This window comes from Homo sapiens, chromosome 8 (assembly GCF_000001405.40).
Source record: "Homo sapiens chromosome 8, GRCh38.p14 Primary Assembly".
Lineage (NCBI taxonomy): Eukaryota > Metazoa > Chordata > Mammalia > Primates > Hominidae > Homo > Homo sapiens.
The window spans coordinates 5,533,779-5,553,700 of record NC_000008.11 but is presented as its reverse complement, the minus strand read 5'-3'; the positions used below and the strand labels follow the sequence as shown (position 1 = coordinate 5,553,700).

At 38.4% G+C, this 19,922-nt stretch overlaps 1 long non-coding RNA gene across 1 annotated transcript; it reads right to left on the bottom strand.

Annotated features, from left to right (window-relative positions):
* Positions 1-8,060: 8,060 nt before the first annotated feature.
* Positions 8,061-19,635, bottom strand: LOC105377793 (uncharacterized). Its single transcript, XR_941372.2, has 3 exons — positions 19,565-19,635; positions 10,819-10,968; positions 8,061-8,173 (listed from the first exon to the last, which is right to left on the bottom strand). It is a non-coding gene; the product is annotated as an uncharacterized LOC105377793 (long non-coding RNA).
* Between the last annotated feature and the right edge of the window lie 287 nt (positions 19,636-19,922).

The window sequence follows — 19,922 nt, the reverse complement described above, 5'->3', positions numbered from 1 at the left end:
CAAGACTGAGTAATTTGTAAAGAAAAAGAGGTTTAATGGACTCACAGTTCCACGTGGCTAGGGAGGTGTCACAATCATGGCGGAGGGCAAAAGTCATATCTTACATGGCAGCAGACAAGAGAGAATGAGAGCCAAGTGAAAAGGGAAACCCCTTATGAAACCATCAGATCTTGGGAGACTTGACTCACTACCATGAGAACAGTATGGGGAAAACCGCCCCCACGATTTAATTGTCTCCCACTGGTTCCTTCCCACAACTTGTGGGAATGGTGGGAGCTACAATTCCACGTGAGATTTGGGTGGGGACACAGACAAACTATATCAGAAGCACAGAACCCTTCTGGTTTCACAGGTTCACAGCTGGAGAGCAATTTTGCTTCAAGATGAATAGTACCTTGACTCTCATCCCTATCTAATTCAGATACCATTTACGTGAGACTTTGGACTTTAGACCTTAGAGTTGATGCTGTAATGATTTAAAATGTTGGAGCTTTAGGGATGGAGTTAATATATTTTGCACCTGACAAGGACATGAATCTGGGGAGTGCAGAATGCTATGAATTGAATCGTGTCCTCTCACATTCATGTTGAATCCCTAATCCTGCATGTGACCATATTTGCAGATAGAATCTTCAGGCAGTAATTAAGGTTAAACCAGGTCACAAGGGCAGAACTATAATTCAGTAGGACCAGTGGTGTTTAAGAAGAGGAACACATGGCCAAGAAGAGTGGCTTCACCAGCAATGGAATTGGCTGGCACTTTGATTGGAGACCTTCAGCCTCTAGAACTCTGAGAAAATAAGTTCCTGCTGTTAGGTCTGTGGTATTTTGCTGTGGCAGCCCAAGCAGACTAACATTCCACAGTAGTGTGATTTACTTTGGCCAAGGAAATGGTACAGAAGTGACCTGTGTTGCTTCTGGCCCACAGCCTTTAATCGTCATTGCAAAACAACACAATGCCCCCTTTTCACTGACATAATCCCCAACCATCTCATGTCGGATATGTAACATACAAAAGAAAAAATTGTTTTAAGCACTGATTTGTTACTAGGCGTAACCTACCCCATCATGGCTTATGCAACCAAACTTAAAGTTATATTGTGAGATAAAATGACTTAGCTGTACTAGCAAGAACCAGAGTGAGGACTCAGATCCAGGTGTATCTGACTCTCATGTCCAGCTCCATCCCAGGATGCCATGCAACTGTCATTTATTCATGATTGAATAATGGTTAATTAGCAGCAATGTGTAAATGAGGAAGGACAGGGGATGAGTAGCCACTGTGTAACTTAATGAAGGCTCTCAATTTGCTAAAGAATAGAGAGCTGGGTAGAGAAAGAAATAATTAAATGGCAGAATTTATGCAAAGTCAAAGTTGGTCCTGAAATCTGTATGTAGGATGAGTGTTAAGAAAAATTAACACAAATAAACAAACAAGGAAGCACAGATTTGCAGGAGGACATAGTGAATTCTGAGCTAGGCATGATGATGCAAGCTCATAGTGCCAGATACTTGAGAGGTTGAGGTGGGAGGATTGCAAGAGCCCAGGAATTCCAGGCTGTAGTGCACTACGATCAGGCCCGAGAATAACCACCTCACTCCAACCTGGCAACATAGTGGGACCCCATCTCTATTTTTTTTATTTTAATAGAAGAAGATAAAGAGTTCGGTTGATCAATAATTGAGTATCATCAGGATCTCAAATGAGGGCACCTAGGAGATAGCTAGGAATACAGGACTGGAGCTATGGGAGAAAGACATGGGCTGAGAATAATATCTGTAGGCTATTCCCATTGAAGTAACTAGTAAGATGAAAATGGATGAGATTAATAACAAAATATAGACAGGAGCCAAACAAGACAAGTAAGGATATGGAAAGAGGTATAATCATTGAGGCAAAAACAAAAAAACAAACAAACAAACAAACAAAAACCCAGACAACTACAGGAACCAAAGATAGAGGAACTTAAGAGAGAGAGAGAGAGAGAGAACATAGAATTCAAGATCTGTGGAGATAAAAATATCTAAAGGACTTACAAAGAAAGCTAATTGTTAAGCCATGACTAGGAAGTAATCTGTCACTTTATGGTGAAGGGAAAGAGAAACTGTATATTTTTATTGATATTCACTTTGGTCTTAAACAAATCAGAGAAAAGGTAATATCATGAAATGAAGCTAAGACCTGTTTTATTACAGTCTAATGAAACAGTGTATATCATTTAGTGCATATATTTGTGTATGCGTAAGCTGCACACTGAGTCCTGAGCATTTAACTGTCACTAAGAAAAAGGAACTATTTTCATAAGATCATTCATAAGAAAGACAAATAAATTACTTGGAAACAGCATAACCATTATCAGTGTAACTAACCACAATTCTCTCATACGGGTCTTTTCTAAAATGCCATGTATTATGATAAATAATATTCTCAACAACATGCTTAGAAAAAAATATATAGTCATTTTTGTCTCTTAAGCTCACCTACTAAGCCTCAATACAATCTTCTAGCATTCCACAAAAAAAAAAAAAAAAAAAAAAAGACAATGCAGAAAACATTGAGTGGGTAATTGGGGATGCTTATTTGACTTTCATTTTTTAGATATTCTTAGCTTATTCCATGGATTTTTTAGGATAAGGGAGAGAAGTGTAATTGGATGCGGGGAAGAGACAGAGAGACAGACAGGGAGATGGGATGGGGGAAGAAGACAGAGAGAGGGAGAGAGGGATTCCAGAGGGAAGGAAATATTGAAAGAGAGGGCTAATTTCTGGATCCAGAGGTGAGTCAGGAAAGGACAGTGGCAGTGGCCAATATTAAAAATGAAGAGCATGGTCTTAGAGAGAAGATTAGTCTTTCTCTTACACTGAAGGAGAAGGGAGTATACAGTGACGTTTTTAGACACAGAGGAAAAATGTTGAAGTAGAACAAATAAAATGAGTCAAATTTTTCAGTAAATTATTTATCCAATTGTTGGTACCCAGTAGCTGCTTATTAAATTGAGTATGCTGGGTTCTTTTTCCTTAAATATACCAGTCTTATCAAGGTGAATGAAAAAAAGTATAAAACTTATAAAATTTCAACTAGGGCATTTGAGCTCTTTGGGAGGTGGAATTTTGACATGTTAAGCAAGTTGTCACTTTGAGGTAGCCAATATGTGTTTTCCTCACCTGCAAACTCAGCACCTTCTTTTTGTTTTTTTTGTTTGTTTGTTTGTTTGTTTTTTAATACATTGCCTGTAAAGTTTCTCCCCGTGGTATCACTGTATCTTAGAACAAAAATAAAACAAAACAAAACAAAATAAAATAAAATAAAATAAAATAATAAAATAAAATGAAATAAAAATAAAAAAGTGGGTTCCAAAATAAATGAGGAAACAATTCAGACGATCTCTTAGCACCTAAGAGGTTGACATTTCTTTTTGTACTGTAAGCACCATGAACCCTGTAATTTGTGGGGAGGGGACAGGGTGCATTTACCATTGTGACTATTATAACGGCTGCATGCTTAAATTCCCAAAATAAGCCAAGTTCTGTTTCAAGCAGGTGCTACCTCTAACCTAGCAAGCCCTGCTCCCAAGCTGATAGTGTGACCAAAATTTAATAGTGCCAAGTTGCCTTCAGTGTCTCCTTGTAAGGTGTTTTCGAAAGGCAAGAGTGATCTCACACAGAAAGATTAGAGGAGGCCCTTGGAAACTGCTCCAAGCTACTTATTAAAGGAAGCAGCAGAGATAATTGAAAGTAATTTTGCCAAACTTAAAAGGGCGCTGAACAAAACATGAAGGTGTAAGAGCAAATCAAATTCTGCTGTTAGCAGAAACCCAACTCCGCAGCTATTTCCAAAGAATGAGTTCTCCGAATGGATTCAAAACATGAGTTAGAAAGAGCTACAGTTCGGTCTTTTAAAATATAAATAAACAGTTATTCCAACAAGTTTCCACATTAAGAGGAAATTGCAAAGGATTCCAAAAGTGAAACGGAAAGAAGAAGGAAAAAATCAATGGGAATAATTCAAATGACATACAAATAAATATTTTTATCAGTTATCAAGTATTTTTCATAGAAAATGGACTGTAAGGCTTACAGCACATACCGAAATGACTGGACGAATGAAAAACCTGAACGGGTAGCCAATAGCGGGGTTTGTCACTCACTAAAATGGACACATTTGCTCAAATATGCCTTTTTCCCCTAAAATCATACCCATTCGTTCGGTGTTTATTCATTCCTCTCTGATGCAGACACATATTGAAGAGCAAGTTGATGATGGGAAATACACTAGATCTTGGTAGGATAGAGGCTGGGTGGTGAATGGAGGGAAATGAGGATAATATAGAGCAATGGAAAGGGTTTATTCATTAAATTCGAAAAGGTGATTTTTTTTTCCTTCTCCAACCTAATCACAGCTCTATTGCCCACCTCTTTGTTCCCTTTGGAAGCGGCTCCCCAAAGAGGTTGTTTATTCCACACACAAGCACGAACGTGTAGACCATGGCGTCCTATCATGAATTCCACCCCCGAGTCCCGTGGAAGTTGCACTTCCTAAAACTGCATTCCCTCCTGTAAATCTGAAGAACACTCTTGTATGACTTTGTATCAATGGCTGCTTCAGTACCCTCTGCTAGATATATATTTTCACCCTACTTCATGTCCATTCAGAAGATGGAAAACATGCCAGTTACAGGAATAGAGGTGAATTAATATAAAAAAAAGATAACTAGGTACAGTTAATGAGTTGACAGAGAGATTAAAGAGAGCTGCAAGCTTTCCCTGAGGTAGCAACCTCTCCGGGCAGGAGTTTGCCATCTATCCCCATGGCTTCTGTCCCTGCTGCGCACCACGTTTGTGGCGGACAAAGGTCAGAGGCAGCTGGAAGGCAGGCGAGACTGAACGCTGCTTCTGTTGACTACCATAAGCGACTAAGGTCCCAGATACGTTCTACAGCAGAGACACCCGAGCTGTTGTCTCTTATTCCTTTGGCCAGCATTTACTTTGCTTTCTCTTTCATAAGAGCTGCAAAATGTGGCACTGGATCATGTTATCTGAGATGAATAAAATCACAGGCTATCAGTACCGGTGGAAGGATATATGACATCCTTTAATACAATGGCACCTCATTTTAAATCGAGGCCATTGAGGCCCAGAAAAGTTACATTATGTTTCCTGAGTTCACAGTCCTATAAAATAGCAAAATGACTAAAACTTACTTCTTTAAAACTATATCATAACATGCTTGCCAGAAAATCTAAACTCAAACTCTACCATCCACCCAATTTCATCTTCCCCAGAAGAGAGTTGTCCCTTCTCACGTTGGCAGCAGGATGGGCACATAAGAACACAATAAAAATAGTTCTTGATTCTTGCAAACTTATGAGCTATAAAATTCCATAAACACCAGCAAAAATAATGACATCTTTTTTTATTCTTTACTATTCGATCTCACTCTTAAAAATAATCATGTTCATGTTTTTAATGTTTTTATAGTAGCGTTCACTCACTCGTGTGATTCATTGCTTTCATACAGGTATTCTGAGATCCTATATCTGCAGAACGGAGTCAGAGCCACAGAGGAAACACATACCCACATTGCAAATTCAGTTCTGGAAGATGCCCCCAAAGGTGGAATTGAATTCTCTGTGTTCAGCATATACACATGGTGCAAGGCACTTCCAAATGAATGTAACAAGTCTGGGGTCTGGCCTTTAGTGGTGACAGAGATTGGAGACAGATGAGAACGATTAAGTGCCACCAAAAGGATAGCTTTTAATACTAACTTCATAGTAACCAAGCTTCTGATTTCTAGTGGCGTCAGGGAATTAGATATTCATGCCTGAGTCACCAGAATATCATTTCTGTAGGTAGACAGTGGGAGATTGCATATTGTTCAAAACTCACCCCTCCCCTCTGACCTTCATTGAGAGAAGTCTACTTGCCTGCCCCAAGTCCACTCACTCGCTTTCACCAGTGGGACATTAGGAGATGTGACACCAGCAGGGACTTATCCCATGTGTCTGAGCTGGGTTGGCGATCTGTGCCCTGCATAGTCTTGATTAGAGCTTTCCCTGTAAAGCTGCTGCCTCTTCAACCGGAATCAATTTTGCAAGAAGCAGTTCTAACCAGCTCTGCAAGTTGAAGCAGAGCCACCCAGCTGAGCCCAGCCTAAAAGAACCAGTCCACGGTCACCCCTCAAACATGAGACTAAGAACGAATAAATATTATCATAACTCACTTGTTTTGGGCACGATTTTTTTATACAGCATTAGCATGGCAATACCTGACTCATCCACAGACCTAAATGGGAAATCAAATCATCACTAGCATTGTGTTTGATAAGTATGGAATTACTACCTGCTGGAGAAATAAACTAGATATTTAATAACTTGAGGTAAGGCCTTCCTCCAACATCCATCTAAAAGTAGAGGCATTACAGATGAGACCAGTATAGTCAGAGTAGTGTGGCTTTTGTTCCTTGTCCATCATATCATGCCGGAAGGGCCAGCTGTCGCTATCTCAGCAACTTTTTTTACTATGATTCCAGACTAACTGCTCTTCTGATGAACGTGTCTTTCAACAACGTTTATTCTAAAACAGGGTACACACACATACACACATACCCCATGCACTTAGTATTGTAAATTTTCTTTTTTTTTCTCTGATGTGCCTATCTATATATTATAAAGGTCCGATCTTACTTTCTTTTTTATTTTTATTTTACTTTAAGTTCTGGGGTACATGTACAGAACGTGCAGGTTTGTTACATAGGTATACATGTGCCATGGTGGTTTGCTGCACGTATCAACCCGCCATCTAGGTTTTAAGCCCCTCATGCTTAAGGTATTCATCCTAATGCTCTCCCTTCCCTTGCCCTCCACCCCCCGACAGGCCCCTGTGTGTGATGTTTCCCTCCCTGTGTCCATGTGTTCTCATTGTTCACCTCCCACTTATGAGTGCGAACATGTGGTGTTTGCTTTTCTGTTCCTGTGTTCGTTTGCTGAGAATAATGGCTTCCGGCTTCATCCAAGTCCCTGCAAAGGACATGAACTTATTCTTTTTTTATGGACACATAGTATCCCATACTATATATGTGCCACATTTTCCTTATCTAGTCTATCATTGATGGGCATTTGGGTTGGTTCCAAGTCTTTGCTATTGCAAATAGTGCTGCAATAAACATACGTGTACATGTGTCTGTATAGTAGAATGATTTATAATCCTTCAGGTACATACCCAGTAATGGAATTGTTGGGTCAAAGCAACCAACTAACATATGAGAAAAAGCTCTTCATCACTGGTCTTTAGAGAAATGCAAATCAAAACCACAATGAGATACCATGTCATGCTAGTTAGAAGGACAAGTATTAGAAAGTTAGGAAACAACAGATGCTGGCAAGGCTGTGGAGAAATAGGAATGCTTTTACACTGTTGGTGGGAGTGTAAATTAGTTCAACTATTGTGGAAGACAGTGTGGCGATTCCTGAAAAATCTAGAATCAGTCTAATTTTCAAAACTTAAGTGATAATGTATTTCAGAATCAAAATAGAAACAGCCACTATACTCAATCTCCTGATATTGATGAAGATACCACAGTTTAGAAAAAATGTACTGACACTTAGAATCACAAAGTTAGTAAAGAGTGGATCTAAGACACCCAGATCAGTAGTAATCCCAATACCATCCAACTATCTTTCAAGTTGAGTGTTTCTTAACATTTTCTTAAAATTTCTCTTTCAAAGTTTCTCCAGTTTGAAACCAGGAAAAAGCAACTGTGCTGTTTAAACTGGCACTGAACAAGATAGGGTACTTTGAAGAAGATACTAATAGAATGTAGAAGTAATTCCATATGCATGGAGTATGTCTGGCTCATTTGAAACCTTTCCTTTCTCCCCAAAACAATACTGCTTCTCTCAGCAATGAACCCAAAGTACACAAATAATTATTCTTTATAAAAAAGGAACTGTCTAGAATCAGCAGTGAGTTGGCAGCAGACCATCAGATTAAATTTTGGAAAATAATTAAGTTGCTTAATGCTTTGAAAGGTTAATTTGCAATTGGCATTTTGACGGATTCCTGGGGTAAATGCAAATACACCGTGTACTGGCCCTTAGCCCCTGCTCTGTCACTGGGTTCCTTTGGAGCCTCTGGTGTTTCACTCTTCTTCTCAGGGGTGGAGTCTTCTTGTCTATAAAATCAGAATGATGGATTGGAGAATTCATTAGCTCTTTTAAGCTGCTGATTCTTGATTCCACATTTAGGAAAATACATTCAGCAAATATTCATGCTATGGCCACCCTTGTGCTAAATGTCCTATTCTGTTCCTGTCCGTGGGTTGTGTGAGCTGATCCACTAACCAACCCCAACGACCTTGTGAAACTGCAGCATCTCTTTTCTCCCAAGGAAGAAATTAAAACTCAAACAAGATCATCTTAGGATCAAAACTAGAATGTAATAGGACTAGAATTCAGACTCAAAGACCAGTGTCCTTCTACTAACTAGAGCTACAAAGGAAACAAACACCCAGTATTTTAGAAGTAAAAATGGAAGAGAGCTGTAAACAGAGGCACAGATGGGGAGTGGAGCTGGGAAGGTATCTTGTGAATTCCAGACGTTTGAAATTTCCAGCTGGAGCTTAATTCCGGCCACACATGAACAGAAATTGTTCATTCTTGATTATGTTCCATCTGTCATATCTAAAAATATTACTTAAAGGAGAGTTACCAAAAAAAGCGTTGATGAAAATATCGATTTCTTATTAAACAGAAACCCATATGCTTTGTACTCTATAAATGAATATTTCAAACATAAAAATAATATGAAAAATTCATTCCATTCACACATAAAATAATACTAAGAAAAAAACAACTCAAACAGAATTTCTAGAGACTCGGTAAAACTATTTACTTTCATGTTTGGTCTTCAAATACTGACTTAGGGTTCAATTCAAGTTGTTTATTTACATCCTTCCAAAGTTACTGGTGCTCTATTTATAACCTAACTCCTAAGCAAATATAAAAATGTAAGGAAGCCAGACTGGCTGCAGTGGCTCATGCCTGTAATCCCAGCACTTTGGGAGGCCAAGGCAGGCAGTTCACCTGAGGTGGGGAGTTCACTCAAGAACAGCCTGACCAACATGGAGAAACTCCGTCTCTACTAAACAAACAGACAAACAAACAAACAAACAAACAAACAAAACAAAAAAATTAGCCGGGCATAGTGGTGCATGTCTGTAATCCGTAATCCCAGCTACTCAGGAGGCTGAGGCAAGAGAATCGCTTGGAACCGGGAGGTGGAGGTTGTGGCGAGCCAAGATGGCATCCTGGGCAACAAGGGCCAACTGTGTCACAAAAAAAAAAAAGTAAGGAAGCCCTACAAAATGTCAGAACTAATACGTATTGATGTCTATAAAGTGACCATATTACAATGTCCTCATCATGCCAAATTTCATAACTCACAGAAGAAAATATATTCTATTGCATAATGCAAGTGAGTATCTTATTTATTTTTTAAGAGATCAGTTGAGAGAGAGAAAAAACAGTGTGCTGTCATGGCACAGGACAATGAAAAAGAAAGAGAGAAAAGCTTCCTTGCCTTCCATGGCTGCCTCCAAGGAGCCCCAGTGACCCTTCCTTTCCCCGTCACATATCAAAGCCCTCATTGGAGAATTAGAGTAGATGCTGAACTGAGCAGTACAGTGAAACACACATTTCAGATGTCACACATAAAACAACTTGTTTACATTGTATAGAGAATGTCTTTTACACATTTTTAGACTTTGGGGAAAATGACTAGCTCTCACAAAACACATGCTTATTCACACAAAACACATTTTTCCTTTGCAGGTAAATTGAATATAATCCCCCCAAATCAAAATTAAGCATGGTCACTAGACAGACAGCCCCTACCCAATTATACTTATATACATACAGAAGAGAAAGAGAATGTATTATGTCTATCCCATGAAAGCAAATTTGATGTTTATATTTTACATACTTTATTGTCAGTATATGCATTAAGTTCAAATTACCTATCGCCATAAAGAAGGTGGTGCTCTGAGTTTCTCAAATGAAGGCATGAATTATCTCAGGGGTCCACAGACATGTGGTGAGGATAGGGAAACAGAAATTCATGAGATTAAGGCTGTGAACCTTCCTGCAGCCCCTGCTTTACTGAAGGATTTGGAGGTAAATTCGTGAGGATGCTTTCTCCTGAACTGGTACCTGAAGGCCTGGGCTCAGTGCCTCAAGAGAGCAATTCACCTCACATGGCAGCAGATCACATGTCCAGCAGTTCCCAGGCTGATGAACACAGAGACTCCATGGTGTCATGAAGAATCAAACCTCCAGATTCTATTTTTTGCTCTATTATGTTCACCCTAGAGCCTCTCCTCAGTCTACCTCCCCAGTGTCAAAGAATAACCACAGCTCTGAGGATGGCAGACACAAAAATGTCCAGAAAAGAAGACTGATACATCATTGTCTCTCTTTCAAGAACAAGGAAGAATATTCCAGTATGACCCCTCGAAATCACTGGGTCCCTCCTAACTACATGGCTGACAACAGTCATGGGACTCCCATGATTGGCTTATTGAATCACCCTGAAACTGGACACAGCATCATCCTTGCTGTGTATACATCTGTGTTGGGAGGGTGGGCACAGGGACAGAATTAAGGGTTTACAAGTAAAAAGAAGGAGGAAATGGATATTGAGTGAGCCATCCATTGTCCCTCTAATTCAACAATTAGATGTATATTTTATGGACACACCACGAAGAAAATTTCAAAGTTCACATAAATTGTAAGAAGGTGCAGAAGACTGAAAAGAATGTACCTGTCTGTGCATGGTGGCTTCCTCTGAGATCTCTGCTCTATGCTCCCTTCACAAATCCTCTATGCTATTAGGGATAATTCACCGGAAAAGATGAGTCTGTACGCTGGGCTTATGCATTTGGACTGGCTTCATTTTGCCTGCTCTTCAACACTGCCAAGGGAGACAGGGGTATTTAACAACCAACTGCAAGAAAACAATGGCATGTAAATGCTCTACCCCTAAACATTTCTCATGGCCTGTCACAGTGGTCCCTGAAGTATGTTAGAATACAAGGTTCTTATCTCCCAAATTCAGTTGACCTTCCCAGACTTGAAACCTACCCACTTTGCCAAGTGCATGATCCTTTAGTCATACTCATTTTTTTTTTTTCTCTCAATAAATGAAACATGCCCTTTTGTGCTTTGGTGAGGCTTCCACTTTCTGACCCTTCTCAGAAGGCCACGGTGTTCCTCTTTCACTGAGAAGCTCTTGTTCATTTTCTTTAAAGCAATGATGGACATTCGTTGATTTCCTGCTCCCTGGCATCAGTAATCTTGCTAAGAGCACCCAGACCCTTCTTAAAGAATTACGTCTCCTTCATTTCATACAGTCTCTTTGTAAGCAAACAATAGGCCCTTATCCCTCACTGTGGAACCCTTGGGAGCCTGCAACCACCTGTCCCTGAGTGGGGATATAGTAAACATGAGCACATACCATGAGCTTAGAACCTCAGATCTCCTCTCTAGAGGCCTCAAATCTTGAGAGGGACATGAAAAGAAAGCGGAAACCGTAGGAGGTCATTTTCCATCATTGAGCTCTGTCCACAGTAGCCCTGATGGAAGCGCCCTTCACAGCCTCTATGGCCACAAGGGGCTCCCTGAGCTTGACTCCCCGAGCACCCCTGGTGTCTGCCCCTCGTCAAGCTCTTGGATCCATCTCCATCTAAGCTTTGGTTCTTTCTAGAACGAACAACCCTGGCTACAGCAGAGAGCTAAATAAACTCTCACCTCTCTTCTAAAGTCTGCTCTAAAAGCAGCATTTAGTCACTGTTCTCCCTTGTTTTCTTAATGTATATATTCTAGTCATGGTATGATCACTTCATGTTTTGGATAATGTGAGATCCCTGAGGAAAGGAAGCTTTACCGCTAATCTGACAAAACGAAGATGTCTTACATGGTGGAAAAAACACAGCTTCAAAATTTAAAAAAATAAACAAAGTGGATTCATTGGCTCTTTCCTTTACAGGTAGCATACCTCTGAATGAATTAATTAAACTTCCTGATTCTCAGTGACAGCATCTTAAAAATGGGAGAGATCCTGTTGTTATGAAGATTAAACTAAAGGGTATGTAAAGCTCTAGCAATATGTTGGATTCAAAAAATACTTTTGGAATGAATGGCTAAAAAGATGAACTCCACTGTTGAAGAGGGAAAGCAGCTTATGTGTTTTAGGACTACACATAAAAAGCCACAGTGTCATTACTACACCATACGGCATATGTACAGCTTTTTCAGTTTGCAAAATGCTTTCATGGACATTGTTTCATTCAATGCCAAAGTGCGTAAGAAGTGCATTTTACAGACTAGAAAATTAGTCAGAGTGGTAAGGGTATTCCAAGGAAAAAAAACAAATTGCGTACCTAACGGAGTTTTAAAATTTCCATGAAAGCAGCTTATTTTTCTCAAACTAAAATACAAAGTCTTTGAAAGTAGAGGTCATTTGTATTTATATGTCACAGGCACACAGAAAATAATTAACAACTATTAGGTAAATGAGTCATTCAAATGAAAATCCCGAAAAGGAATGAAATAAAACACTGAGTAAAAAGCCTTAACTCTGAACCCAAGATATCTGGGGTCAAATCTCATCATCACCTCCTACTCATCATATAACCTTGCACTGATTACCTAGCCCAACTTGTGCTTTATTTTGTCATTGGGAAAGTGGTGGTAACAGCAACATCAATTATTTTTTGGAAATAATTAATGGCTAATACCCGTTTAGCACTTAGAATAGGGTCTGGAACATAGTAAGATTCAATAGAAGAAGCTATCACTGTATTACTACTACTACTAAGATATCATAAATTTCATCATCATTATCATTGAGTTATGAAGAAACAAGCATGCAAGGAAAGCCAAGGCTAAATAGCTAGCTTGGCTCAGGAGGTGTCTGGAAGATATTCAAGGTCAGGAGAATGCAAGGCTAATCCTGGGGAGTGTGCCCAAGATCAAGGAGGAGTGGGCACATGCAGGAGATCCCTACAGTTTGAAGTCTAGAAAGTCAAAGCGTTAGCGAAGCCTTGGCCAGCAAAGAGAGCTAGCAAATGCTAAGTGCACGGTCCCCTCCCAAGGCCTTCAGTCCTTAGGTTCCCTGGATGCAGACGGCAAAGGGCACTCAGAAATGCACAGAGGAAGCAGAAACCACCTGCCATCTCTTTGTCGGACAAGTCAACTTTTCTCTCTGACCCCACAGACAACCTCACTATCTTCAAGGAGAAACCCGGAGCCGTGTGATGACAGGTTCCCCTCCTTTGCTCTGCAAGCTTCCTCATTATGGGCAAGCTCCTGCCCTATCCTCCTTTGACTTGTGCCTTCAGGGCATGATAAAGCTTGTAGTTACTCCAAACCCGACCACAGATCCTCTCTGAGGTTCACTACAAAGAATGTAGAGATTTGGATGTTTGACTCAGGGTAGGAATTTGTCATAGTCCCAGCTTATTATGGGGAGGGGAGAAGCCCCACCAATTGACAGGCAAACCAAAATATTCTTTTCATGCTGGCACTATAATCCAAAGAGCATACCTCAAGGCAGTCTTCAATGATACTCCAAAACTTGCAGCAAATGATCAAAGACACAGACTATTGGCTTAGAATGGGTGCTGCTGCTGATAGAACCACACACCGCAGCCTCTGCCAGCCTCATGCATCAGCAAATGTGCTCAGCTGAGACAAGGTAAGTGTCTTTCAAAATAACTTTAAGCAAATAATCATTTTACTGTTTGTCTTCTTGGTTAAGCTATATAATCGCTTACATGGGAAAGGTTTGTAGTCATTGTTTTGATGAATGGTACTTGGTAAATATATTTGGAATAAGATAAGAATCAGCCTTTGAAGCTAAAATGGACGGCAAGATGAAAAAGAATTGAAGATTAAAAAAAAGATCATGAGGGAATAAAGATGCAATGACCTGATCAAGAAAGAAAATAAGAAAGCTCTGAAGCCTTTCCATGATATTCTCGTAGCAGAACTATTAAATTTAATCTTCCGAAACTAGGTAATCAAACTATCTACTCACTGGATTCTCCCAGTTGATACAGCTTCTAGACACCCTGGTTAGGAGGGAATATTCCCAGCACATAGATATTAATCTTTTCCAGGTTGATTTCGTTTTGTTTATAATACAATAAACCTATGCTTGAGTCTTCGGCACACATAAGAGGCTGAAAATCAAAATGCAAAATTTAAGCACAAATTTTTAGTTCAACTTTTCATTACACTTAACAGGTTTTCCTTTCTAACTATAATATAATCATTCTTACTAAACATTTTAAATTCCTGTATTCTCAGTTCCTTTTTTTATATTAAGGCTAATCATTACCCAAATAAAATAAGCATGTCTCTATAAACACAGGAAGTAACCATGAAAAAAAATGATTACTATGCACACAAAGAAAATGATACACTGCTTCAGAAAGTCTCCTAAATCTCTCTCACCACGTACTTGAAACCAATAAATGGCGAACAATTTAAAAAGTCTGCTGCATTCCTAAAAGGACATTGAAATGTCCAGAAGAGTTACAGATTCATAATATGAGTAGAACAAGAAGTAGAGATTTAGTGGCTCCGTATCTGTAAATTAGAAAGTAGAAATGGAATGCAGGAGGGGAGCTCTTAAGTGGATGGAAGGGTTTCGACAAAGATGACATAAGAGAAATCACTTCGAAGAACAGAGTGGTCACATTTTCCTCTGAGAGAGGTGTTGCTAATTCACGAGTGAGTCTGAGATTTCATTTAAGTATAGCACAGAAATGCAAGGGAGTGTACTGAGAATGATAAAGCAATGTCTCAATTATTATCTTCCCTTCTTTCTTCTTCATATCAATGCTTTTAGTGGAGGACAAATGCATTACAGAAAACAAATCTGTTTCCATCTTTCTGCCATCAGCGAACAAATACTAAGCATCTTTAAGTAACACCAGCGTGGAGACATCAACCAATAGCCTACGTGGGAAATGCATTAAAATATGCATGTAAAAGTAGGATACGTATGATATTCTCAGAACTGGAAAAGATGATCGCTATTCTACTAAAATAATTACTGAATTAATCATAAATTGTAAATGTCTCACACACAAATCACAGAATGTGACGACAAGGCACCCAGACTAACCGATTTGCAAATAGGCAGCGGAGATGCTATCCTATCACTTAGGCCCAGGGAGCATTCATCTGGATTTGGGCATAGAGAAAACAGTTCGGAGGACTTGTTTTAGCTACCTGTGGCCAACACTCAAGAAAAGTGAAAGAGGTTGGAATAATTTTCCATATTTAAAGAGGGTCGCAGGATGCTACAATTTCAGCCTCTGCAGGAAGAATTTGGCTGATGTACTTGTCTCTCTGGGATCATATATTGTAACAGAATATCCATTTGGTTCACTTTTAGATCAGATAAATATATATATATATATGGATAAATATATAAATACATATATATGGATAAATATATAAATATATATGAATTTTTATTTCTGATTGAAGTAAGAATTTAAGTTCCACTATCTAACATACAAAGATATTCCACCAATTTTAAGCTAGTGTTTTTTAATAATGAAACTACCTGAAGCAATATATTTTAAATCATCTTTTATTAACTCTTTCAGAAAACAATCCTGTAATGTCACGTGTTTGTTGATCTGCTGCTAGAGTTTTCAGGGATTAAAATATTTTTATAACCAAATTAGCAAAACAAAAATACCAACTCTTTTTATTGTTTAAAGAATACAGACACGCACGCACCCTCATTGTTCAGTTAACTTATTCATCAACCAAAATCACTGATTTCAAAAGCAAAGAAACACATAAGAGAGAAATGATTATTTTTAATTTTTGCTTTTTGTACTTTTCTGCTTCCTACTAATTTTTTTTCTGTTGATTTTAGTGTTTTCCCTTCGTGTTAAAAAATTAGTTCTTTTCTGGAGATTATCTCAGACAACTAACAAAACTAAGAATTGTTCAGTTTTATTCCCTGATAGAAATTTAGAGTACAATTACAATTTCAGGGGATTGCTCAAAATTTGATATATTTTCATTATTGTTTGAGTTAAACTCCAAAAATGTATGATCTTTAGATTCTCAGAAGTAGTTACTTTTCTATCAAAATTTTACACATTTATGTTTTAAGATCCCCAAAAATAATATTATGAATATAATTATTTTTTAAAATTATTGGCCAGGAGCAGTGGCTCACACCTGTAATTCCAGCACTCTGGGAGGCTGAGGTGGGCAGACTGCTCTCAGGAGTTTGAGACCAGCCTGGCTAACATGGTGAAACCCCGTGTCTACTAAAAATACAGAAATTAGCTGGGTGTGGAGGCATGCGCCTGTAGTCCCAGCTAGTTGGGAGGCTGAAGCAGGAGAATCATTTGAACCCTGCCAGGAGGCAGAGGTTGCAGTGAGGTGAGATTGTTCCACTTCGCTCCAGCTTGGGTGACAGAGTGAGACTCTGTCTAAAAAAAATAAAAACATTACTGCATATATCTCACCTTCTGTGTTGAATAATGGTACCAAACAAAAGCTGGTTGGAGAAAAATACAGACCTGATTGTGAATATTCTAAACAGAGACAGAGAGTGTTTAATATTGGAAAATGCTAGAGAATTTTGAGTTAACTGACAGAATAGAAGGGGAAGATGAGGTAATCTACAGATTAGCGATATAAGAAACTGTCTCTAACCCATTGGCTGGGAGAGGAAGATGTTAAGTAGATTTAAGGCTCTACTTAAAGTCTTGGATGGTGTAAAAGACCTTTGAGGACTAGAGGCTGAGGTTCAAAGGCTTCCAGACACCTAACAGAGACTTGAAGCCAGGGACAAATGTAGATGACCCACGTGAGTATTTAAGTATTCCTTATTGCCTTTATTACTGTTGCTATAACCAAGAAGGTGCTGCAGGGATTAATGACTTACACCAGGTTTGCCTCAAGACCAGTGTGCTTCTGTGCAAGGCTTTAGTAATACTTACAGTGTAACTAAAGCAAAGTCATGATCACTTTCCTAAAAGAATCTCAAACAGCAAAGTCAAGGAGAGAAACAAAACTTATTGTTACATAATTTAAAAGCATGATGGTACTTTTTTCTCAAATAAATAATTTTGTCATTTCTATTGTGGGGTGGTTGAATGGCAGAGAATATGGAAGAAAAAAGAGGGGATATAACTAATATTTATTGAGTGTAAGCATGAGCTAATAGTTTAGGCTTTATCTTGATATTAACTATATGTTAAACCCACTTTGTTCATAAAGCAATTGCAGCCCATCCAAATTAAATATCTGAGCTAAGTTCATCAAAATGTCAGATTTGAGGCAAGAGCCTATATCTAGCTGATTCGAAAGGGTGGGATATAATCCTAGCTCTGTTTCTAAAAGTTATGACCCTTCTCTGATCTCTGGTTTTCCATTTTGCAAGTACTTTGGATGATTAAATGAGCTTTTTCAAATCCCCAAATTCAAGTTTTTATAGAAGAGCCTGAATCACGGATTGCTTCAGCACTTCAGAGGCATTGCAAAAAAGGCATTTGAAACGAATGGGGAACTTTTAAGAAGGTTTTAACTTTCATTTTTATGGATATATAATATATGTTCCTATGTATGGGTATATAAGATATGAGGTTAAAAGTAAATAAATGCAAATAAAAGGTAAATCTAAGTAAACTTCTTTTAAGACATATTATGTGCTGCATTCTTTCAGAGAATGATACTGCTTAACAAATAAAAAACCCTGTAATCTGAAAAAAATAAAAATAAAGAGGCAAAAGCAACTATATTTCGTTTTTATTTTATTAATTAAAATATACTTTTATCTTTGTATTTTTAATTTATTTATTAAAGAAACCCATTTTATAATTTTGAATATGATTGAATATGCCTATTTTAAAAAAAAATCTTTGTTGAATTCTTTATCAGACAGCAATTTGGGTATTTGTATCTAACTTCAGACAGTTTTAATATTTACTTTACATGGCCATCATAATGGAAAATCTCTGATACTTCAAAAATGGAAGAAAAGGAATCATCGGCTATGCTTACTATCCCATCCACATAACATACAAAAGTTTGGATATAAAATGGAGATATTAAAGTATCATCTGACATCATGTAAGTCAGTTTTTCTAACAAATTAGTTGAAAGATATTGCAACTTATATTTGTAACAAATGTGTTCAAAACATAGTGTACACTCAGGTGATTAAGGTTAACACAGACAGTAATAATCACTATTGATAACATGTAACCTTGATATGAAGTGATGAAAATGGCACTTTACCTCTGTGGTCTTCCTCCTGAAAACCTATGACTCCAGTCTAATCATGAAACAAACAAACAAAAAAACTCTGACAAATCTCAATTGAGGGGCATCTATTAAATACCTGACTAGCTGTCTTCATCTGTTCAGGCTGCTAGAACAAAATGCCTTAGACTGAGTAACTTAGAAACAACAGAAATGTATGTCTTTCAGTTCTAGAGGCTGCAAAGTCCAAGGTCAAGGCACCAGCAGATTTTGCAGCTGGTGAGGGCTTGCTCTTTGATTCATAGATGACATTATCTTGTTGTATCCTCCCATGGTGGGAGTAACATGGCAGCTCTCTTGGACTTCTTCTATAAAGGCATTCATCTCTGATCACTTCCCAAAGCTCTCACCTAACACTGTCACACTGGGGATGGGGATTAGGTTTCAACGTATGAATGCGGGGGTGTAGGGGGCAGGCACAAACATTTAGAACACACCACCAGGATTCTTCAAAACTGTCAAGGTCATCAAAAACAAAGTCTGAGAAACTATCATGGCCAAAAGAATTTTAAAGAGAAATAACAGCTAAATGAAATGTGATATATTGGATGAAATTCTGGAAAATAAAGAACATGATGTAAAAACTAGGAAAATGTTTTAAAAGTATAGACCTAGTAATAACATAGCAATACTTCTTCATTAATTGTAACAAACATACTACACTAATGTAAGATGTTAATAATACAACTGGGTACAGGATATTTGGAAACCCTCTGTACTATTTTGGCAATTTTTCTAAAAATCTAAAATTGTTCCAAATTATAAAATGATTTAATGTAATTCCTCATTGTGGAGATTTTGAAATTTATTTTCAATATGCTATTTTTTTCAGTCTGTAAATATAAAAAGCCTTTAGTATGGATATACGTATACAATTTTCTGAAACACGAATCATGAAAAAAAATGGAAATATTTTCAAAAAACTCTTCACACTAACACTCCTTCCATAGCTTGCGTTTCCGCTCTCAAAAGCAGCACTTGCTGTGGGTTCCTACTGATACAGGAACTAAAAAGAAATTATCTAGGTAGTTAGTGAGGGTAAGAGAATCTTCTGTAAGGTTTTCCTTTCAATAAAAAGCATTCCCCAAATCATTTCTTTTCGAACAAAGAGCAGCCTGAAAATTCAAGCTGCAGACATAGAAAAGCAAGCTAGAAGTTTGCACAGTTGAAAGCCGGCAGCGGTGCTAACAGGAAGAGGCTACCTGGGGGCCAGGCCTGTTCAACACGGAGTCTCCATCTTCCCCTTTCTTTGTCAACCACGTATACGGTAAAGGAACAGGCAACATGGCGGGGCCAGGTAGAGAACCCATGTGCGTAATAAAAGATTAGGGTGGGGCAGCAAGCTTCTTCCTGCTCTATGTAAATGGCACACCTGGTCCAACCAATCTTTTGGGCCCTATGTAAATCAGATATCACAGCCTTGAACTAGTCTATAAAACCCAATGCATTTCACCCCTGAACCAGGACACCCACTTGGGAGCCCCTCTCTCTGCAAGAGAGAGAGCTTTTCTCTTTCTTTCGCCTATTAAACCTCTGCTCTTAAACTCACTCCTTGTGTGT